The sequence below is a fragment of the Homo sapiens genome, chromosome 20 (assembly GCF_000001405.40).
Source record: "Homo sapiens chromosome 20, GRCh38.p14 Primary Assembly".
NCBI classification, from domain to species: domain Eukaryota; kingdom Metazoa; phylum Chordata; class Mammalia; order Primates; family Hominidae; genus Homo; species Homo sapiens.
In genome coordinates, this window is record NC_000020.11 from 14520744 (window position 1) to 14545204 (window position 24461).

Sequence of the window (24461 nt, forward strand, 5' to 3'; positions counted from 1 at the left end):
ACCTTTACCATTTCTTTATCTTCCACCTGTAATGATAGGCTTTTACTTTGTTTTTTTCTTGTTTGTTATAGACCAAGTTGGGATCAGTCCCTGCTCTACTTACCTCCTCCCTGAGAAGCTTCTTTCTTCAATCAGGGGCAATCTTAAACAGGACATTAGCACTAGATACACACAGACACAGATACACACACAGACATGCACGCGTGCGTGCGCGCACACACACACACACACGCACACACACACCCCCCAAATAGGTTTTCTTGAAGTTTTACAGAAAATTCCTGGGGAGACATGGAAGAGGATTAACATGATGCACTCCAAAGCACAGACTTAATAAAAGTGCATTGGCTACCTCTATTTTTCCCCAAGCAAAATACCTCATGTTTTTCTTTCTCATAATGTCATCTCTTCCATATGCTTTCTAAAATGTGCCCTTCCTCATTCTAAGCAGGTTAGTTGTCACCCTCAGCTTGCATAAGCCACCCAGCAGAGCAAAAGCCTCTGTTGTTTCTAAAACCTGCCCTCTTGGGGGCCTCTTCCTTCCCCTTAGGTTGCTTATCACAGTCTCCAGTATTTGAAAATTCATCTCTCTTCTTTTGGGGAGCCAGTAAATAGCAACAGGAGATTAAGCTGCTAATAATAACTAACATTTATAGTTAGCTTATTGTATGCCAGGCAGCATACTAAGTACTTTCTATATTACATTAAATAAGATTATCTTTATATCCCTCTACCTGCAGGTTTGTCTCCTACGGAAGACTGTAAGCATTTGCACAGTGATGACTATATTATTTTTTTCTGTATTCTTAATACTTAGCAACATGCCTGGCACATAGTAAGCACTTCATAAATGCTTGTTGGATGAATAGTGTGTATGCATTGATGTGATGTAATTGGTGGTGAGAAGAATCAGCCTGTTCACAGTAACTTTAGTCATAGTTCTTTTTATATTTGTTTTTTGTTTTCACTTCACCATGGTTGTCTTCCACTATTCATCATGTAGTCAGTACAAGCCCTGGTTGTCACTCTGTTAGCCATGGATATTTTCAGCTCTTATATTCTGACAACTAATTATTCCATGGGAAGTCTTTTAATCAGGATTCTCTTTGTTTATATTGAAATGACTAATATCTTTCTCACACATCTCATTTCAGCAATATGAGTTGATGCTGTATTTTGGATCATGTATTTTAGACCAGGTGGCCAGGCAGCAGCACTCCCCACCAATGCAGACAGGTTAGGTTTTCAGTCTGTGCTTGGTGCATCTCTAGGGGGTTAATGAAGCCTTCCCGTCGAAGCCGCTGTGATGAGAGGACAGGCAGGACTCCTGCTCCCTCCCCACCTGCTCTGAGTTCTAATCCGAGCAGCTCTTCTTCTGTCTGGTTTACATATTCATCTTTTGGGTGAAATGGTGTTAAATATAATATATTTGAAAACGATTGGGTTAAAAAAGCTATTCTATTTAAAATATCAAGATGGCCATACATAACACAGATAGATAGGTCCTCAACATTAGCAGGTTGGGTAGTGTAGTCAACTGCTGAAAATAAATACAGCACAACCCAACAAAACACCTTTCCCCTCAAACACTAACAAAGTAAAATAAAATAAAAGCAAAACCCTGAAACCCAAGCAGAAATGTAAAGCTGAAGAGACATTTTCTAGATTGGTCAGTCACAGCAGTGTATTCAGAAGGCAGTTCTTCCTCCGGGTTTGAGAGGCCTGTAGCCATGTATACAGAAACTATCTTGGGTAAGGTGCCTCTACTCTGTCGGGCTTACTATTTAAGATCCTTAGTGGGTGTCAGAGGCCTTTGGCCTGTACTGCACAGGTCTTTTCTTGTTTGTGGAACGTCAAATTCATTTTCTCTCCAACAGGCCTTTTGGTTTCTTAAAACTCTCCGGTTCTTGTCCCTGCACGTTTTTCCCTCTCAATGGCATTTGACTCAGGTTGCCAGTCATTAATTTCCTTGTATGGAATTAAGGAGATCTTCTGGTCCATTCTGTGGCTAGAGGCAATAAGAGAACCCATCCTCATAGATCTAGTCTCAACATGAAGCATTAGAATGTAAACTCCCAACTCTAGAATATAAATAAGGTCACTGAGGACAGGGATTTCTAACTGTTTTATTCATAGATGTTTCCCTACCTCCTAGAGCAGTGTTTAGTAATCTGTAGGCACTCAGTAAATATTGTTTAAATGAATGAAGGAAGGAAATACCGGTCTCACAGTCACGCCTTTTATACTTTTGAGAATGAATTTCTCAACTGTCTTATCCCTCGATCTGTTATTAACTATGCTAAAAATATTTCCTGGCTTTGAGTAGCATTGTAGAAGGTCCTCTTCCATTTTCCGATTTTCATAGATGATCTTCCATTAAAAAAAGACGCTGGCATGTTTCTGCTGTAGAAAAAAGGAAGCAAAGGGATAGTTACAACTCCTTCTACTCTTCTCCCCCAGAAAAACCTTTCGAGGCCTCACCAATAGATGGCTTGCTTTCTCCTCCAATCACCAGCAGACAGAGGGGCCCTGGTGTACTGCTGTGTTCTCCACACCAAGGGGGAAATGAATAATGTGTGAGATTCCTCTCTGGAATGTTGAGTGTCTCAACCTTCCTTCTACAATTATATTTTCTGCTTCACGGTGATGACAGCATCACCTGTGGGTTCAGAATCAGAGACCTCCAGCTTCTGTCCCCATTTTGGGGTAATGTATGTGCCACCTTTCTTGGATTTTATTTAATCAGTGAGTCTCCTCCCCAGGAGATTGGGGACTCAACTATCTCTAAACATTTTCTCATCTTTTCTTCACCTAGGGTTCCTGGGCTCCTGTTGGGCCTCACTGGAAGCTCCTAGGGTTAAACCAACCTTGGGCATTAATTTCAGTGTCTGTTCTCCACAGTCACAAAAATATGGACCTCTAGTTACACTTCATAAAATAGCAGAGATCCTACCTAGTCCACTGACAGATGTCAGCATAGCATCCTCTTCTAGAAATTTACTAGCTTATGTTTTCTGGGTACCCCCAAATTCTATAGCAAGATCTAATTCTCAGTGCAGATCTTAACACCGTATCTGAGTATTTTGTGTCTATATGAGTTTGCCTATTCATAAGAGTCCAGCGAATGGTATTAAACATCCCCTTTTGTCTCCTGCAATTGCCCTTAGATCCTTCCTGAGGATATGCCAGTCTAGTTATGAGAGGTGATCCGGACGTTGTTCATCTAGAGTTAATCTGGACATTGTTCTAGATAAAACACACATAAAACCATGAACTCTAAAATGTCCTCAGTCCTTTAAGGATGATAGAATGTGCTTATAGGTTATAGCTAGGTTGATTATATAATTTATTATTTAAAACATGACACCTTGAAAGCAAAAGGGAACGGTATTTATAATTACATTGCCTCAGAAGTCATAAACCAGGACCTGTAGTCACTCTGGTTATGGCAGAAATCTTGCATTGGAAAATCTTTCCTTCAACTTATTTCACCCTACATGGTGAAAATTTTTTAAAACTCTTCTTTAAAGTAGTCTTTCACCTTAAGGATTCACTTTTTCCGAACCACCAATGTCCTTTCCGATATAATTATGTGGTCTAATTCACCCATTCCTTCACATTGTTCATGTTCTTAACCACTTTCTCTATCTTTACTAGAGTTGGCTAGGGCTCTAGAGATGTCCTAAGCTTTTTCTTGAATAGCAGCTGACTGGACAAGTGAAGACTTTCTTTTCTAACTTATCCTAATAAATTGGAATCTCACTTTTGTTTTGTTTCAACGCCAAATGAGGACTAGCAGTGGCAAGATAAGGGTGGAACAGAGGAGGAAAAGGAAGGACAGGATAAAGGAAGGAAGCCTACCACTTACGTATACATCACACCTGGGATGCTCATGCTCTTGTCCCCTGCCTGCGTTAGCCTTGGACTCACTGCTCCCTTGAGATGCCACTAAGAGGGAAAGGGAGAGCATATTTAGAACACTCACCCCACCCCAACTTTACCACCTTCACTGATGCTCCTCAAGTCCTTAACCTTCTCGCTAGCTTCCCCAGCCTCCTTCCTGGTCTTGAGCAGCATTCATGCGGAGTCTCAAATCAGAGCCCCTTGCCCTGCTTCCTCACTTGCCTCATACTGTCTCTGTATTGCTTTCCTCTTGCAAGAACTCGTTCACCACACTAGGAGAAAAGCCTAGAAGAACCCTATTCTTATTGCTTTATGGATGAGAATGTAAGGGGTTAGGAAGAGCCCCCATTTTCTTATCTTTATGTTGAAAACGCAGGGTGATATGTGGTCTTGACACATCAATTTAGAATTCCGAATTTATTTTCTCATCAAAACCCCTTTATAACTGGCCATTTGGTTTCAAAATACTACAAGTAGTACCCACTGGATATATTAGCTATATTGGTGTTTAAATAGATGTTTATATTCTTATCTATCAGTCTAATTACCATGTATAATAGTATTTCCATACAAAAATCTGAGCTTAGTTCCTCAAGATTGCTCAGATAAAATTTGGGGAGATTGTCTATTTATAATTAGGTCTATCTCCCTTTTTTGCTAGTTCTCATTTGAATACATTCAATTCCAAGCTGTTAAAAGTTAGCAATGCTAATGATAGTGATGATCACTAATGTTTATTAAGCAGCCTTCATGTAGCAGGTGCTGCGTTAGTTACTATATTGTCATTATAATTCATATCTCACTGTGATGAAAGTATTATTTCCATATTACAGATGAGGAAAGTGAGGCACAGTGAAGAAGAGTGAGGGGCTTAAGCTTATGTAATGAATAAATGATAAAGCTAAGATTCATGCCCAGGCTTGTCAGACTCTGAAATTGGCATATTTTTACAATGCCATGTGGCCACCTGTGCCTGGCCATATTTTACCATGTGTTACCACGCTGGTGTGTCTATTTTAGGTTAGGAGCAATTTTAGAGAGAAGCAGTGCCCTAATCTGCATCTTCAATGCCATTTAGGTATGTTAGTTAGGACAGTTGGATGCTAAAGCACTTAAAGTAACTTTTAGGTCATTTGCATTTTCCAACAGTGGTAAATGAAGATATCAAATAAATCATATATTCCCTTTGATTTGGAGTTGCTTGCTATGTTCTCTCCCTTCTGCTGGTTTTTCATTCATTGCAGCCAATAGCTATTGGATTCATGTTGTTGGCTAAATCTACCCTTTTTCTAATCATGCTTCCTGAAGGTTGGAGGGGGAAATATTTGCCATAAAATTGATTTCTAAGGGCAGGGCAATGAGTAAGGCCGATATCGGAATGTTGATAGAAAAAAGCCCTTCTTTTGTCTTGTTGGCTGTAAAATATCTTGCATGGCCCAGAGTACAATGAACTTAAAATACAAGGAGAGCGCAGTGCAAGTCACCATGATGACTCTGACATCAGTATTTTCCATATCTCTTTTAACCCAATTGTGACTTTGTAGAATGTAAATTGCATAGAAAATATATTTTTTCATACTGTCTCTAAATCCTAGTTTCCTTTCTTGTCATATTCTTTTTTTTATTTTTCAATTAAAATAGGATCCTGTTTTCCTTTCTTTTCATAGTCTTTTTTTATTTCTCAATTAAAACAGGATGGGTAAAAAGGACACAAATTCTGCCATTGCAAATGATCTATCAGTTTTGGGGGACATACTGACTCAATGAAGATCCAGTGTTGTCTTTCAAAATTTCATTTACATTCCGCTCATTCACACTTTTAATTGTTATTCCCTTAAAAATTAATAAATAAAAGGAGCCATCTTGTTTACATATTTCTGCACTTTTTTTCTTCATAGACAGAAGTCTTTCAAATCTGATTCATATTTCTTTTCAGATTGCACTCTTAAGTTCAACTCTTCACGGACGTCTATAATATTCCTTATCTCAGCTAGTTCTCCAGAATATGCTTATGAAACAGAAAAGGTTCCCTTGTCCCCCTCACAGGGCATGTGGTGGGGGTGTGGCTCACTTCTTCAGTGTCCTGCTGCTGAAACCTCTAGGGGAGCATACAAACTGACAGGCTGTGGGGCTCCAAACCCACGACAGTGTCTAGGGGTGAACGCTGAGGGCCCCAGTGGGCTGAAGCCCCAGTGGGCGTGTGTTACAGGGTGCTTTTTTAGTTTAGCCATTTGTAGGTGGCTTGTATTAGCTCAGTTAGACTGTGGTCTTAATTGCAGAGACAAAGGGCTTTCTGTATCCTGGGACTCTTGCCTTGGTGTTGTACGGATCATATGTGGACTTGGAGAATGAGTGCAAGGTTTTATTGAGTGGAAGTAGCTTTCAGCAGATGGGGGAGCCAGAAGGGAGATGGTTTTCCCCTAGAGTTGGGCCTCCGCTTGGCGGACTGGGCTCTCCTCCAACTGCCCCAGCCAAACTCCATGTCGTTCTGCTGGTTGGTGGCCTGCTGGCCTGCCGACGTCTGTCAGTTTGTTCTTCTCGACGTCCAGCCACCTGTGTGTTCTCCGCTGATGTGCTCCTCTCCATATCCAGTTGCTTCTGTGTTTGCCTGCTAGGGTCTCGCAGGTTTTCGTAGGCACACGATGGGGGTGTGGCAGACCAGGGTGGTCTTGGGAAATGCAACATTTGGGCAGAAAATGCCTGTCTTCACCTAGGTCCATACGGGTGGAACCCTAGCCAGGGACCATGCTCTCCTCCTAGCACTTCCCTTCCTGCCTTCTGTATCATTTAAAGGGACCACTCTCTTCCCTTCCCAGCACTCCCATATCACTTACAACCAACCTCTGATTATATAGGCAAAAAAAACCATGGTTCTAGTGAACAACCTGAAAACCACAAATAAAAGATGCATCAACGAATTATACTGACATTATAGGAAGATATGCAAATGTACTATTTCTATGGAATGAATACTCTGGGGACAATGTCTCACGCTGTGCATTATGGAATCATGAATTTCAGCAGTTTCATTTTTCTGTGTTTTACATTAAAATAGCAAAGAAAGAGTACATGTCTAGAAAACTATTTCTTAGTGACCTGTTAGACACATGCCAGAATGTCTAATGTTTTTCACATGTGGTTCACCTGAGCCTGTAAGATTTGATAATGCACCATTCTGAAATAAATGAGTGCCTCTAAATGTAGTAACACTTCTCATGTCCACTTAAAGGTCAATTATTTCAACCATTATGGTTTAGGAAAATGGGCTGGTTAAATAAGCTGAGTAAAATAAGCAGCCCAGCTCACCAAGAAAGGACCTGATTTGAGAGAAATGGGACTAGGCTTGCTTTTCTCAAGTCCATCCTCAATAGCCATCAGTATCATATAAACTAAAATCTTATATAATCTTATTTTAATCTCAATATAAGATAAAATCTGACCTTTAATAAGCCCCACTGTCTACACTTTTTTTTTTTTTTTGAGATGGAGTTTCACCCTCATTGCCCAGGCTGGAGAGCAATGGCATGATCTTGGCTCACTGCAACCTCTGCCTCCTGGGTTCAAGTGATTCTCCTGCCTCAGCCTCCCAAGTAGCTGGGATTACAGGCATGCGCCACCACACCTGGCTGATTTTGTGTTGTTGCTTTTTTTTTTTTAGTAGAGACAGGGTTTCTGTTTTTTTTTTTTTCAGTAGAGATGGTTTCTCCATGTTGGTCAGGCTGGTCTCCAACTCCAGACCTCTGGTGATCCACCCGCCTCGGCCTCCCAAAGTGCTGGGATTACAGGTGTGAGCCACCGTGCCTGGACTGAAGTCTACACTCCTTAACATGGTGTACAAAGTTCCTGATCTCGCCACTGCCAGCTTTTATAGCTTTTTTGCTTATCCTCTCTGTCTACTACTTTTAGCCACCTGAACTGCTAATATTTCCTTCCAATGTCCTTTGCTTTCTTAGCCCTATGTCTTTGTTAGGCTGACTTTTCTTTTTCTCCTTGAGATGTCTTTTTTTCTTTTTGCGGGGGTTGGGGGGGCCCAACATTTCTCGATCTCATTTGTGGATTATTTTCAGGATCACTGTGTTGTCCAGAAAACGGACATGGACCATTGATTAGGTTGGGTTGGGCTGTCTTCTCTAATCCAACAGTAATAGAATAACCAACACTTACAGAGTAATGTGAGAGGCTCTTGGTACATCCTGTAGGTGCAAGTTATCTAATTTGACCCCTCTACCCACCCTATGGAGGAAGGTATATGAGGCTGGGTCTTATGTAATAATAACTAGAGCACGGATTAGGTACTGGCTTTTCAGTATCTTTTCCTCCCATGCCTTTATCCCTATATCTGCATGTATAACTAGGTCCAGAGGTGGGTAAACCTTGATGAGTTCATTCACTTCTCATATTCAGTGATTGCTCAGGAAAGGGCACGAGATTGGGTTGTGATCTAGAGGGCACTAGGGGAGCTATTAGGTAGGTTGCCTTTACCTAGAAAGATGAGATCGTCTGTATGAGAGCATTTTGCACACTGAAAAAGCCATCATGCTAGTTTTAGGCTTCAAGTAACAAGAAACCCAAAAGATTAAACAACAAGATTTATTATCTCACATCACAAGAAGTTCAGAGATAAGGCAGTTCCAGGATTAGTTAATTCATTAGTTAATAACAATAAATATATAATTAAGAACCCAGGTCTCTTTTCATCTTTCTGCCCTGCCACACTTAGTGTATTGGCTTTTGTCTTCAGGGTTTTCACCTCGTGTTTTTGATATGGCTACCACGACTCCTAGACTACCTCATTACACAGCATTTACAGGCCAGGATAGGCTCCTCTTCATGTCATTATATGACAATAATTTTCATGTCCTTTTTAAAGCATAAAATAAAAATTCCCACACACCTCCAATAAAACTTTCTGTTCTGTCCCATAAGCTAGAACTGCATCTCTTGCCCATTCCTGAGCAGTCAGTGAAAATGGAAGTGAAATGACATGATTGCCAAGACTGATCAAGGTTTATTCCCTAGAAGGATTGAGTTTCCCAGAGGCACATAGTCATTCAATGTTTGAATGAAATTGGGATTTTGGTAAAAGAAGAAGGGGCTAGGTCATGTCTTTTTATTAACTAGTGGTACCTGCCACAGCACTATACAAATATGAGCTCTCATTTTTAATATTAGTATATCAATGTTTAATATATGGCAGTGGTTTCAGAAAGATTCATTTTTGAGATAATTTTTAAGCAAAGAGGGTAATAGTGTTTTCTTTCCCATGTTTTAGGTTGGGTTGCCTCAGAAGCAGAACCTAAAACAATGATTTGAGTGCGACTAGTTTATTTGGAAGGTAGAGGCGGAGGGGAAGTGATACAAGGATATAGGGAAGAGAATGGATTATCACTGGGTGACCGAAGCTCATTGCCATAGGGGCACTCTGAGAAATGGTACAGAATTACATGCAGAGTTATCCCTCAGAAGGAGGAAGGGAGCTGGGGTAATTGTACCCCAGCTTTTGCCAGTTATCTGTTGAGAAACTCAGGGAAGTGTGTTAATGTCCCCAGGGCCCTTGTGATATGGTGTTTTGCAGCTTGTGGGGAAGCTTTCAGGCAAAGACATACAGATATTGGAAGCTAAAAGTCCCAGGGAACTGATAAGGCTCAGGGGATGTGAGACCAACAACAACTGCCACATTCCTTTATGTCCATAACACAAAATAAAGAGCAGAAATGTCACAGAGCCTGCAAAGGGATGGAGATTTGTTTCGTCAAGAAGGGAAAGAAGCACTTTCATATTTTTTATTTAGCTCTCAAATGGGGTACTTTCTAAAGCTGTGTGATTTATGTATGTATTATAGCCAGTTGTTTCCCTGCACACTGCTTACATTCATGTTATATTCTGGCAGAAAAAATCTGATTTTAATTGCTCTAAAAATACATGTTCTTATCTGCAGGATTTGTATTGAGGCTTACTGAGAGCAGCTTAAAGGTCAAAACCTTATATTTAAACTATTAGCTCTAATTGTTAGCGGAGTACATTTTAATGTTACAGAGTTGGTTAAACTGCTGGTATCCTTCCACCTTCCAAGATGATTAAGAGCGCGGAAAAATAATTTATCTTAAATTTTTAAGTGTGTGTTTAATTTTCTCATTTATGGCATACGTAACAGAATGGCAATTAATTATTAAGTCTAAAGAAAGAGAATCATTGTTCAAAATCAGTACACTATGCTTCATTTAACTCCTATAAATATCACATTCTAGAGACATAAACTTGCGCAGTCAGTAGCAAAAGGTGGTTGTTAATAATCTGTTAGTCACTGTGTACACTCAATTGGCCAAGCATTTTCTCCACTTATTCTTTTGTTATTTTCTCTTTTATTGTCCCAAGAATACAAAGCAATTAGCCAAAATTATATGACAATCTCTGGAAATTATTTTATTTTCCATTTGTGGTTTGGGGACAGGGAAGGTAGGAGGAGGAGGGATGGAAAGAACTTGTCAAAAATTGAGGCAGGTGTAGTAGATTGAAATAGTAGGATCTCAAAACATGTCCATATCCTAACCTCTGGAACCTGTGAATGTGACCTTATTTGGAGAAATGGTCTCTGCGGATACAATTAAGGATCTCAAGAGGAAATAATCCTGGATTCAGGGTGGGCTTAAAGTCAGATGTACATTTGAAACACAGGGATACACAGGGAAGGTCAGAGGGATACTGGAGACACAGTATCCCAGAGGACAAGAGCTTGTGAAGATGGTCACAGAGATTGGAGTCATGTGGTCCCAAGCAAAGGGATGCCTGGAGTGACCAGAAGCTGGAATTAGCAAGGAAGATTCTTCCCTGTACCTTCTGAGGTAGTACAGCCCTACTGACACATTGATTTTGGACCTCTGGCCTCCAGAGATGTGACAGAATAAATTTATGTTGTTTCAAGTCACCAGTTGTGTGGTAATTTGTTACAGAAACCCAAGAAAACTTATATAGCAGGTATTTTATTAGTGGTAGTAATGATAATGGAGGTAACGTTTTGCCTATAATTTTATAGTTTACCAGATGTTCTCATCTATGATTATCAGAGTCAAATGGTAAGCTGAATGATACATAGAAATTAAATGTCCTGCCCCAGCTATAGCCATAAGCAGTCCAGTATCTCAGACACAGAGCCACTAGCCCACAAGAAGCTACCTCCGGGAAGGGAAGGTTGAGGAGCTTCCTCAAGCCTCTAAGGAGTAACAAATCCTGGTGGAAAGTTTTTTCTCCCCACCCCATATTTTCTAAAGCCAGCCTTATAAAAGCTGTGCTTCCATTTTCTCATTAAACGTTCCTCTCAGCCAGCACTCGACGTTCACTGTGTGGACACATTCCAATGAGTTTTGTTTTTTTCTTTACCATATGGTGATTTCAATTTGTACTCACTGTAGATTCATTCATTTCTTTATTAAATGCACATTTACTTCATACTTCCCAAAGGCCTAACCTGTGCTTATGCTGAAGGACAATAGCAGTATAATGATTTTAGTACCCATGTTTCTTAGAAACGTAGCCTTCACATTTTGTGCACAAAACAATCCTGTATAACTAATCTTTTTTTTTTTTTTTTTTGAGATGGAGTCTTGCTCTGTCACCCAGGCTGGAGTGCAATGGCGCAATCTCGGCTCACTGCAACCTCCGCCTCCCGGGTTCAGCCATTCTCCTGCCTCAGCCTCCCAAGTAGCTGGGACTACAGGCGCCCGCCACCATGCCCGGCTAATTTTTTTTTTTTTTTTATTTAGTAGAGACGGGGTTTCACCGTGTTAGCCAGGATGGTCTCGAACTCCTGACCTCGTGATCCGCACGTCTCAGCCTCCCAAAGTGCTGGGATTACAGGCTTGAGCCACAACTAATCATTTTTAACAAAAAAATTTAAGGACAAGATTTGTGCAGTATTAAGAGCCATTACTTATTACTGTGTGACTGAGATCATTTATAGTCATTCAATGTTTGAGCAGGTTAGTTTTCATTAGCAGTTTCTCCCCCCTCTTGGTTAAGAGAGTGAATGTTTCAGATGTGGTGACTTGGTTGCCTGTTGTTCAAATATACGCTACTGGCAGTTTCTCAAAATGTCAATCACTTCATCTCTGCTTTAATTTACTACATATATTGCTCAGAGTGCTGAATTAATGATGTGAACTTGAAGTTTCAGGTCTTCAAGTAATCCCTGGGTGATGCATCGGGATTAGGCCTTTGTAGTAGAAATTATGGACATGCGTGCTGAGCTTTTTGTGTCTTGCTATTTTTTCAGCCTTGTATGAAGGGCCAAAAGATGTGAAGCCTTATTAAACCCAGTTTATGGGAATCTGTTGTTTTGGACTGAGCTCCTGCAACTAGGCCCATACCAGACCAAACCAGAATGGAGTCACTCTTGCTGGGTGCCATGTAATAACCAAACTGAATGACCAGTTTTCCAAAAAACAGGAGATTTCACAGCAACCAATCAGAAAGGGCTCAGTCTACCTAAAGCCTGGAGGATAAGGAAATTCTGTCTACTTTAACCTTATAAGGAAAGTAACTTTGAAATGACCAATCTGCTTTTCGTTCTTTATTTCTTGATCCTTATTTCTGCTTTCTTTAGCAATTTCTGTCTATAAAGTCAACACCTGCTGCTCGGCTCATGGGAGTTTCTCCTGTTTTGTAGACAGGATGCTGCTCAATTCTGAATCGCTAACAAAAGCCAGTTCTATCTTTAAACCTCAGTTAGTGAAAATTTTGTTTTTTGACAAGCTATAAGAAGCACATAGCCACATGACTTATGATTATACATTTTTAGATTATTTCTTAACTATTAAGATTCTCAAAAATGTTTAGGAAAATAAATGACCTCTAGGTTTAGGTTTATGGTGGACTAAGTGGTGAACCATTTGATCTTGAAAAAAGAAAAAGAGGATGAAAAGTAACAAAGTTGCACTCATCCCTGATTTCTAAACATCTGGTCATATTAAAAGATTCTCATGTATTCCAGAACTTAAAGTATAATTAAAAAACAAGTTTCTCTTTTTTAACTTTTAATCCTAAATAGTATGTAGTTTTAAATTCTCATATACTATTGTATACCTCTTTTACTACAATCATCACTTTCTTTGCAAATATTTTCATTGGAATCACTAGTAAAGCCATATATTGCCTTATTCACAGTCCAGGTAAAGAATTTGAGAGCCTTCTTACCTGTGTTTGGACATTCATTTTTTGGATATACTTTAATGTGTCCACATGGATATACTTTTGGATACGCTTTAATGTGTCCACATGGTAACTTGAAGCAATAGCAACTATGTTTAACTTATCAAATTTTCCATAAACCAATTTGATGGTCAATCCCTGTAATATTTAGTTCTTCTTCTGCACAAGATATGTTCTTGTTACAAGTCTTTCTACTTATTAAAAAAAATACCAGTTAAAAGAGAAGGACATTTAGGCTCTATCTTTTAAAACCTAAATTATTAATTACACGTATGTTTCTTGAGGATGGTGTGGAGATCCAGCTGTGAAAGCCTAAAACACAGGAAGGGCCACACCGTCAGATTCGAGCGTTGCTTTATCTGGAAGGGTAATTTCATTTTCCTCAGTGTGAGTGGTGAACAAAGAGGAACTAAAGGTAGAGACCAGATGGAGAACTGGGTCACTTTTCTGGGTCTTGTTGTATTTGGATTTTTATTCTTTGACTCAAGTTTTGTTTCAGATGTGGTGAACTTTAAGAAAGGAGGATATGCTGACGTTCAAATATAAATATGTATTATGTTCTTACTTTTATCCATGCTTCTGTTTTCCTCCACTGGTATAAAAATTGCCTTAAATATAGAAAAGAAATTTTTTTCTACTTAATAATGTATGTTATGTATAATTGGGATCAATGAATAATCTCGTTGATCAAGAGTGTCTTCAAATACAGATGTATTTTAGAAGGGAATGGAGATTGCTTTATGTTTAGCATTTCAATGTGTAGCATTTCAATTGAGCATCTACTTTGGATCAGATCCTCAGAGTCTAAAAATAGTTTTAAAATAATTTCTTCATTTTCAAGGGGCTTAACATTAATTGATGGGGAGTAGGGGAAGGATAGTTTTTGAACAGAAAAATAAAAGACAGTTACTAAAGAGAACTATGAAATATATTGTTGTCCTTGGAGACAGAGTCTAAAAATAGTTTTAAAATAATTTCTTCATTTTCAAGGGGCTTAACATTAATTGATGGGGAGTAGGGGAAGGATAGTTTTTGAACAGAAAAATAAAAGACAGTTACTAAAGAGAACTATGAAATATATTGTTGTCCTTGGAGACAGAATTAGGGACAATAGATGAAAGAGGCAAGGAGAGAGGTTCTGACTTATTACCAGAATAAGCTTGATAATGATCCAAGCATAAAAAACGATAGAATGACTCTGTCTATTGGGAGCTGATGAGTACTTTCTAGTTAGAAATATTTATGCAGAAAATGAATGATTTTATCTGAGTACTACTACTTGGTTTAGAGGATTGAAGGAACTGCCAAGATTCCTTTAGAATTTGAGATTGTATTTTTGAATTAGTTAGGCATCTTTATAGGAGTTATCTTGGCTGGGCGCAGTGGCTCACGCCTGTAATCCCAGCACTTTGGGAGGCTGAGGCGGGCGGATCACCTGAGATCAGGAGTTCAAGACCAGCCTGGCCAACATGGTGAAACCCCATCTCTACTAAAAATACAAAAAATTAGCTGGGCGTAGTGGCGGGCACTTGTAATCCCAGCTACTCCGAAGGCTGAGGCAGGAGAACTGCTTGAATCCAGGAGGCAGAGGTTGCAGTGAGCCGAGATGGCGCCATTGTACTCCAGCCTGTGCAACAAGAGTGAAACTCCGTCTCAAAAAAAAAAAAAAAAAAAAAAAAGAGTTATCCTTTTCTCCTTGAAGTCTTGCCAAGGACTTGGGTGGGCACTGTGTTGGTTAGGTAGCTAGGAAGCTGTGGTTGATTAACTGTTAAAGTCTTGAGTATATAGTGAAGAAGAAGAAACAGGGCAGAATTAATTATGCATTAAGGCCTCCCAGTATCTTCCGTTAGCTGCTGTGATTTTACCAGGACCCTCACTTTCCTTCACTTTCCTTGGATTAGATGGTCAGGTGGCACTGAAGTGACTTGTACCAACAGGCTTAAGCATGAGAACTAACCTGATCATATTATATCCTAAGAAGGTATTCTAGAATTGAATTTGTAGAAGATTTCACTAGTTCTTCAAGTATATATTTTTAGATTCAAGTATTAAAGTTAGCACTAATGTAATTCACTTTGTTTATGGAGAATTGTTTACTTATTAGAATCTATAAAATAGTTTTGATCTAATGGAAACAGGCCTGTTGGTTATAGGAGGGAAATGTATCATGGTTTGACAAAAAAATAAAAAATAAAGGAGCTGGGGCATGACAGCTCTTAGAAGTAAAATCATTTGAACTATTTGTCATTGGGAGAAATTACCTACAGTATCAAAGAGTTGTCACAAAGAACTTTCCCCTGATACCCAACAACATATATGTGTATATATATATGCACAACGTTGACTTCCAGTGATCTCCATTTAATATAAAATAATTATCTGTGACAATTATTCTTTAAAAATGCATTCTCCATTAACATAAGTGGAATTTCGACTAGCCAACACTTTGAACTTTTATGTCTCAAGTGGAGGAGTTTACTGGGTACAGAAAAATGAAGGAAAATCCATAGCCTGAATAGAAGAGAAATGAGCTTAGTTTTATATTATACTTTAGGAAGAATAAAGAATAATATATGAGAGTTGGAGGTGTAGAGAACATATGTGAAATAGTTGGCAATTATTTATTTTATTCCCTTTGAGGACAGTTCATCTTTATACATAAGTATTAACATGGTTAAATGCAAGGAATCTTTAGGAGCAAAATGATAATAAGAGGTTATTTTTATCTTTGAACAAAATCTAACCTAACTGGGCTGAAACCCAATAGGTAACATTGGTGTGTGTGTGTGTGTGTGTGTGTGTGTGTGTGTGTGCATGCATGTGTGCCTGCATTTATGTGTGCATGTATACATTAAGTCACATTTTTTATATTTGTTTCACTTTTGATTGAAGGCAGATATTGTTGGAGAACAGATCTATTTGTGAAACCTTATTGGGAACATCCAAATTGGCAAAATGACTTGGTGCCCATCTGCAGTAAATTAAGATGTACATCTGACTAGGTTGGGGCTTCATGCCAGTGCCTGTCTCAACATGTTCAGTTTTTAACTGAATTCTGTCAAAATTCCGAGTCAGATAATAATTAATGCCACAGACATTTAATGCATCTTTATTATGCAAGTGCCTGTCTTTGTGACTGTAGATTTAGTCAGAAAGGGTCAGGGTGGCTTCCTGGCCATGATATTAGCCTAGAGCTCTCCCTACTCCCTCCAACCCCCTTCCTTCTGTTTTCTGTTCACTCTCATTCTACCCTGGGATTGATCACTGGGATAGTGGTTGGAAAATGTTACTTCATTGGTGAAGAAAGCTCATATGAGATCTATGTTGTTTGAAAGCATTATATGGTGTCCTAGTTAGGATTCTTCCAAAAGCAAAACCTGACACAGTGACTCAGATATGATAGTTTATTTGATAGGTAGTTCCAGGAAACAAGAATGAGGGAGAGTGAGGCAGCTTTAAAAAAAGGATTTTAATGAGCAGATTAAGGATAAGGGTAACTAGGACTAAGTCCTGCTATAGATCTTGTATAAAATAGCCTCAGAATTGTCTACACCTAGGGACAGGGAAGTTGAGTATTTGTTCACTTACCCCATTCTTCATTGTTGGTGTTTTCTCTTGGGGGTGTTTAATCTCTGGCACTTTCAGCCTGCCCTAAACATGGACTGAGCAGGTGGAGAGGCAGAAAGACACAAGTGCTTTAAGTTGGGGAGCTGTTGGTGTGTATAGGAACCAGATAGCTTCAGGTGAACTCAGAGGTGGGCTAAGAGGACGTGAAGCAGGGCATCACCAATGTAAGTTCCATGCGGTTTCTATTGAAAAGGAGCTTCAGGGCTCTATTAATGTATAGAATGTCTACTTCTGTTTTCTCCAGCTCATCTACTTGTCTCAAACCAACTAAATGACCAAAAGGAAAAGTTGGAAATGGCACCAGTGGTTCATCCTGCTCATTTTCCAGCATAGTCCGAAGGTAGACAATTCTCATACTTTGCCCATTTTAGACAGTCTTCCTCAGGATACAGATGGCAGGAAGGAAACAGGAACCTCTCAGAAATCCGATGCAGCTCCTTACTAGATCTCTATTTTCACCTTCTTTGCCTCTTCTCAAATGTGGATCTCAAAATACCATCTGCTTAATTGACCTAATAGCAATTGTAGTGGTAGTGCTATTTGCTATCTTTTCTCGAGTGCTTACCATGTTCCCACCATTATTTTAGCACTGTTCTGTATAAATAATCAGAACAATCCCATGAAGGGGATACTATAATATAATGATCCCATTTTAAAACATGAAAAGAAACTGAGGTAGAGAACGATTACCTGTCCAAGGTCTCAACCGTGGGAGGGGGTGGAGCATATGACCTGAGTAAGCTGTCTAGAGTCTCTCGTACACTGAAACCAATGCACCCTTTTCTCAGGGCTAAACCCAGCTCTTGGCCCCAGGGCAGGACTAGAATATCCCTGGTCCTCATGCCAGAAGGCTTGTGAATCAAAGGCTGGAGCAATGGAGGAGAGATGGCAACTTATTGTCACAAGCCTTCCCTCTGTTACACTTCCTCTCTTCAGTCCATTCTCCATGCATCATCTGAAATGATATTTAAAATGCAGAAATCAGATCACAATACACCCCTGCCTAACACTCTCTAATGAGTCCTACTGCACTTAGAGCAAAATCCACAATTTGCTCAGCTACTATGAGCCTGCTCTTGCCTGTCTTCTAGTCTTCACCTCCCACCTCTCTACGCATGACTCTCTCAGCTCTAACCACACCGGCCTTCTTTCTATTCCAGGCGCATAAGGAACTGATACCCACCTCAGGACATGACTATGTCCCACTCACTCCTTCGTACATTGTCATCTCACTGTCCTCTTGTTATCCTTCAGATGTCAGCTCAGATGCTGCCTCCTCAGACAGGCTTCTGCTGACCGCCCCCCTCTCTTACTCTAGGCATCTTATTACCCTCTTCTGTTTTCTGTATAGCATGTATCCCATTCTGAAAAAGTACCTCATTTATTTTCGAGCCTACATGTTTATTATCTCTTTCCGTGCTCCCCACAACCCAGTCTCCAAATGTAAGCTCCGTGAGAGTCAGGACTTTGTGTGTTCTGTTTCGCTGGTGTGTCCCTAGTGCCTAGAACTTCCTGGCACATAATGAGCATTCAGTAAACATTTCACATATGACTGGCTAACTGCTGAGTAAGGAAATGAGTGAATGAATGAACAATGGATTAAAAATGTAGATACTTTATCTTAGACAAAATTTGGCAACAGTAGAAATCAAGACCTTTCTCTGTCCAGCTTATGTGACTCTGTTCAAAATTATCTCAATTGTGTACAATATTTTGAGCTACAAACATTTTTCTCCTCAAAATCTCATTTTTTTCTTTTATTTAGGGGAAGGAAAAGGCATAGCAGTTGTTTCCTGAAGCAGTTGTTCCCACATACACAAGTTGACACCTCTTTTAGCTTTTCTGACCAAGTTTCAATAATCATACACAGAATTTTAGAAATACCTTCTTCTGGCCATCCTCCCTTGACTCCTGCTTTTCCAGTGGGAGATGGAGCTGGGAGGTGGTGGTAGAAGAAGGGAGAGTGTTGGGGGAGTGAGGGAAGGACCTGTGTGAAAAGGATTGGATTTGACCATTTAGGGAAGGGGGACAATATGAAGGCCCTGAAAACCAGCTATTAATGATGGGGCTCATTTCTGCACAGGTAAATATATCAGCACTCATGCCACTAAGATATTTTATAAAAATGCTTCCTGAAACAAAGTAGTTACTTCTAAGTTTCCCTAGGGAATAACTTTTTTAAAAATTAAAAAGATGCATTCAACGTATGTGCCATAAATCCTCTATTTTTGATAAGCACTGATAACTCAAAGATAATGCTGCTAATGTATAGACAATTTACTTTGTTTTCTTCAGAGAAATTGAGAACTTAGGTCTTGCTTTGTACACAAATACAGAGGTAACAAATTCTGATAAAGATGTGAATCATATTTTTTTCCACTGGTTAGTAGAGAGGTAGATTGGGAGGAAAGCATTAGATGTAATGGCAGCTGTGGCCCGTTCCTGGATGCTAAGCAAATCTGTTTCACATGTGAACATGTTGGGATCTTTTACATTTTGAGACCGTTTTGCCCTTCTTTTAAAGGTCCTTATAGTCTCATAACTCACAGAGAATTATGGTTTAGTTTCAGTTACCAGTAATATTGTAAATATATTCACATACATTTTTAAAGACATTATGGCAATGTCCTTAATTAATAACATAGCCATCATTTTATAAAGAGTCCCAATTTATTAAAAATAAAACCCTAAAACCAAAAATGATGGGATAACATCTTTATGTTGCCCTTGTTTGCATTCAGGATGTTTCCAAGTTTATCATGTCTGTGACCTCAGTTACGTTTACTTCCCCAGATGGTTTTTTACCACATGAGCAATTAATATAATTGGAGACTATGAAGTGTTTATGTCAAGGCAAGAAGCAGTAGCAGCTTCAATGTGGTGACTTTGCAGGCAGTCAAACATATTTCACTGTGTGCTTCCAACCTAACCCTTCCCCTGCCCTTCCCCTTCTATTTTTATATTAAACAGAAAAAGAGAGTTCACAAAGGTGCTCAGAAACTGGCAGTTTCTTTCAGAATGTGGTATATTTCTAATTTCCATATATTTCCTTCAAGTGGAATGGCCCTGGGAGCACAATTACCTTCAATCTTGACAGGTATAAAAAGGCCAATCCTGCCAGTCTCTGATTGAAATGTTAGATCAACTTTTCTGAATCTGGCATGATGGGTGACAAAAGACAGGGATGTTGCTGGGTCAGGTGAAGATGTTGCCATAATCCCTTTTACCTATTTTGAGCTTCTGAGCAAGAAAATCCTATATCAAGGTACATTAGCACCACCTGCTATCAGCACCCTTAGAGAGGCTGGCAACAGAGAGGTTCTTTAACTTTTATAACCGTGCTCTACATTAGGAGAGGCTCAAGGAAAGAAAAATCAGGCATAATCTCTGAAGACTTTATAATGAGCTCATGTTCTCATTCTTCATATAGATTCCATTTTTCTGTATGAAAATGGTCTGCCAACTGTCCATAATTAGCCCCATCTTACTTCACCTGGCAATATCTAGTGCTTATGAATTCTGTTGGTAGGGAATATCTTTATGTGGTGAATGCATTCTGCAAAAAGTATACATCAAAAATTGTAAATCATATTACATCTTAATTACAGAATTGATTCCTCTGAATAATAAGCTTATAATAAAGCCTTGCTAGGGTGGTTTCATATCCTTAAATCCAAAATATTGTGTTTGTTCTTTCACTATCAATTTGTATAGACTTTATGTGACAATAGGTACTCTGAAAGGGGAGCACACATATATTAATTTGCATTTGATGACATACTTTTTAGAGGTGCATTTAAGGTCTTCCCATTTGGTCTGGCAAGTTCTGTCTGCATGGATCTCTCATCCCCAGGATATTTTTAGTGCTCCCTCTCTGTTTCTTCCTCTTATCTCCCTTCAGAGTCCATCTTGTCGGGGAAGTCTTCTCCGACCATCTCATATAAACCTCCCACCCATACCATGCTTTACTTTTCTCCTATTACTTATAATTACAAGGCATATTATGAACTTATTTTCTATCTTCCCTGAACTAAACTCTATAAAACTGGGTTTTTTCTTTAACTTACTGTTGTATCTTCAGACCTAGGACAGTGCCTAGCACATGTACACACAGCACACATCACACACACACACACACACTATATAATGAATGCATGGATATGTGAACAAAATGATGTGCTTGAGAGGGAATGGTGTCTATAAAACCGCCGGTATTATCAGATTCATTTTGTGTGGTTATGTTTCCTGAGGAGAAAGAGACGTATTACTGTTTACTTTTGGTTTTTATGTTTATCTGTTATAATAGCATATGGTATATCTGGTATATCTAACTGCTCAAGTCTTAAATGTCTTAAAAATATTGATTAATAGATCCTTTAAATAATATGATTCTAAGACTCATCTGTTCTGATCATCATAATACTACAGGGGAACCACAAGTCATCAAATGGCATGAAACTCAAAACTACAGAATGTAATCTGGGAGACTTATAGGCCCAATTTTAATAAACCACATAATGTTTTTAAAATGTATAATTTCATTGTTAACATTTGAGAAATTCAGTATATTGCACATAAATATCTGGATTCCCAGCCTTTCTTGAATAGCCTGAACGTCTGCTGACGCGAGACACCTATGCCTGCATGGCATCAGTTAGCTGGAGCTGAATGTGGGTGTGTTGACCGCAGTCGCCATCACACCCTTTTGTCTTTCCCTCACCGCACTCCTATGTATATTTTGCCAATATGGCACTGTCAGTGTTTGGTGTGGTATCCCTGCTGTAAATCAAGCTAATCCATAGGCATCACTTCATGTGCTGCTCTTTATTTATTTACTGAAATGGAGTTGAAAATATTTGTTGAGGTTAAGGAAAAACTATGTTCTTTGTTGCACTTTAAACATTCTAAATATTTTGGATTAGAGAAAAGAAAAGGGAGCTTATACTAAGTTTTTATTTTCCTGAAAATAATCCATAACTTAATGTTCTATGTACTGAAGGAGTTTGGGTGTTCACAAATACACATATTTATCAAAATTCAATGAATGAATACTTAACATTTGTGCATTTCATTGTATGTAAATGTAATATAAAGTGGAAGCAAATGTTGAACTATAATTAATCATATGCATGCAAAAGTATTTAAGGAGAATTTTTCTGTGTCTGAAAATCTCTTTGAAATGTACCAAAATCAGATGGATTAAACAATGGATTGAAGGATGGTTAGATTAATAGATATGTGATAAAAGAAGCACAATAGAATAGTCATGGGAGAATCCAGGTAGTGGGTACATCGGATTTTACTCTACAGTTCTTTCAACTTTGCTGCATAATTGAAAATTTTATAATAGGATATAGGGTAAAATAATCTGCAATTAAATATGACAATTTTCATACTGTTCCTGCTTTCTGGAAAGTTTTTTTCTAAACTAAATGTACAATTTTACATAATGAATTAATGAAATGGTAAATTATTATAATTTTCAGATTCTGCTGTAGGTTTAATTTTAAAATAATCTTTTATTTTAAAACAACCAATTATGATTTGGAGATGTAATTATGGGATTTTTAAATTTTTCTGTATTGTCCCTTTTGTACCTTATTTTCTTCCTCTGTCCTATACAATGATCACCCCTTATTCTCAAGGCATACATTCCAAGACCCCTAGTGGATGCCAGAAACCACAGATAGCACCAAACCCTATATGTATTATGTTTTCCTATCTGATGATGTAAGTGACTAATGGACTGGTAGTGTATACAGAGTGGACATGCTGGACAAAGTGATGATTCAAATCCCAGGCAGGACAGAACAGAACAGCATGAAATTTATAACTAGTTGGCACAACATGCAATTTATAACTATATTTTCACACAACCACTCTATCTCAAATAATATTCCCTGGTCTCTTTAAGTTTTACATCTTTTAAGCTCCTATATGTAGTTTATGAATTAATTTTAACTGGTTATTGTTTTACTCTACACTTTTTAAGGTGAAGCCATTTAGGATTTTAATGTTTTAATCATACATAGTTTTTAAAATAATTGGCATATTGATATAATGAAAAGTTCTGTTTTTCTCTCATGGACTATTTCTTCCATACATTTAGAAACTTCTATTTTACAGTTATAAATAGGAGGTTGTAGAACTATTAAAAGTAACTTAATTGTAAATGCAGATGCTCCTCAACTTGCAATAGGGTTATATCCTGATAATCATAAGTTGAAAATATCATTAAGTCAAAAATTTTAAGATAGTATTATATCAAAACACCACTTACGTTACAATATCAGATGTCTTTGAAGCACAAGTCCTTCTCTCTGTAGATAATACTTAGGGAAGATCATGGATTTCATTTCTCCTCGTTTTCTAACATTTCTCTTTCCTATCAGTCTCCTTTGCATCCAGATGAAGTCTTATCAAAAAGAATTTCCCTCAAACTTGTCCATATCATTACAATTTAGTAGACCCCAAGTCAGTCAATTCAACTAATATTCACTAAATGTCTATTTGGCTGGCTTCTTCCTGGGAATCTGGACACAAATAAGACATTATCCCTGCTCTAAAGGAAGTCTCCTGCTCCTATAAAAGGCTAATGTGGCAAAAAGCAGACACTGACAAACATTAAGTGGAGGAATGTTCCATGTTGATATACTATCCACTTTCTGATGACTCTTTTCGAAACTATTGTTAGGTTGATAAATATATTCTTGGATATTTATTATTAAGTAGCTGAAATAAAAATGATTCCTTCTTTTTTTTTTTTTTAGAAAATAGGGTAGGGCTCAGCATGTGAATTTTGTTTTTAAATCATTTTAATTTTACTTTTTATGGGTGGCAGCATAGTATGGTAGAATGAGCAAAATGAGTTTAAAATCAGACAGATTCTGTCTTCTAATCTTATTAATTCAGTGATCTAGATCTCAGCAACTTATTTAAATCTCCCATGTCTCTCTTTTTTCGGCTATAAGGCATGGGTAATATAGCTATATGTGTGAGAATTAAAATTTTAGTAGAATAATGAGTAAAAGTTTCGAGTCCATATGGTAGGAACCCAGTAAGTAGTGAGCACTCTTATTATTGTTGCAATGATGATGATGGTGATAATGATGATGATTTCCATTTGAGTTGCTTGAGAATCACACCCTGAGACAAAGATTCTCCTATAAGTAATTTATGTGAGAGGTAATCTCAAGGAACACTGATAGGGGAGTGAAAAAGTAGGGCAGAGAAGGAAAAAAGCCAATAAGGAAGGCAACTGGAGCTTAATGATGCTGTGGCATTCTGAGAGTCAAGTGTACAGAATTTCCCACTAGAGATAAGGGAGCTGGAGTATTTATCCGTCAACTCCTGGCAGTCATTAGTTGAGGGCTACTCTGTGGGGGTATTAATTCCTTGGCATTTACAGCCTTCCACTTGCATAGGCAGAGTGGTGTTTGGCAGGCAGAGAAGCTTTCAGGCAATGAAATACAAGTGCTAACAGTTGGAAGTCAGCTCGGCCTGCCTGAAATGGTAAGAGCTGAGGGCATATGGGTGGAGCACTAATAGTATCTGTCCAGATGATGATGATGACGATGAGACCACTTGATGAAGATGGGAACACTATATTCACTCTCTGAGAGATGAAATGTAAGTGTAGCTGATTAAATGTAGGGAGAAGCCTGTCTAGGAAAAAAGACACTGTGGTCTCTGCCCACTCATACACACAATTTACCCTACAGGTTTGA

At 38.6% G+C, this 24461-nt stretch overlaps 1 protein-coding gene and 1 long non-coding RNA gene across 4 annotated transcripts in view, besides 1 other annotated feature; one reads left to right on the plus strand and one right to left on the minus strand.

The window, feature by feature from the left end:
- MACROD2 (mono-ADP ribosylhydrolase 2) overlaps nucleotides 1-24461 on the plus strand; it is a 2057682-nt gene that overhangs the window by 525228 nt on the left and 1507993 nt on the right. The gene's annotated exons all lie outside the window — the stretch shown is intronic.
- Nucleotides 1563-1732: an enhancer, noted in NCBI's record as "experimental_59600 CRE fragment used in MPRA reporter constructs". NCBI's record gives its function as "activates a minimal promoter by MPRAs in K562 erythroleukemia cells, with activity observed for the introgressed 20:14503037 variant allele {active_cell/tissue: K562}" and the evidence as "EXISTENCE:reporter gene assay evidence [ECO:0000049][PMID:34662402]".
- Nucleotides 2107-2574, minus strand: LOC124904873 (uncharacterized). Its single transcript, XR_007067536.1, has 2 exons — nucleotides 2482-2574; nucleotides 2107-2403 (listed from the first exon to the last, which is right to left on the minus strand). It is a non-coding gene; the product is annotated as an uncharacterized LOC124904873 (long non-coding RNA).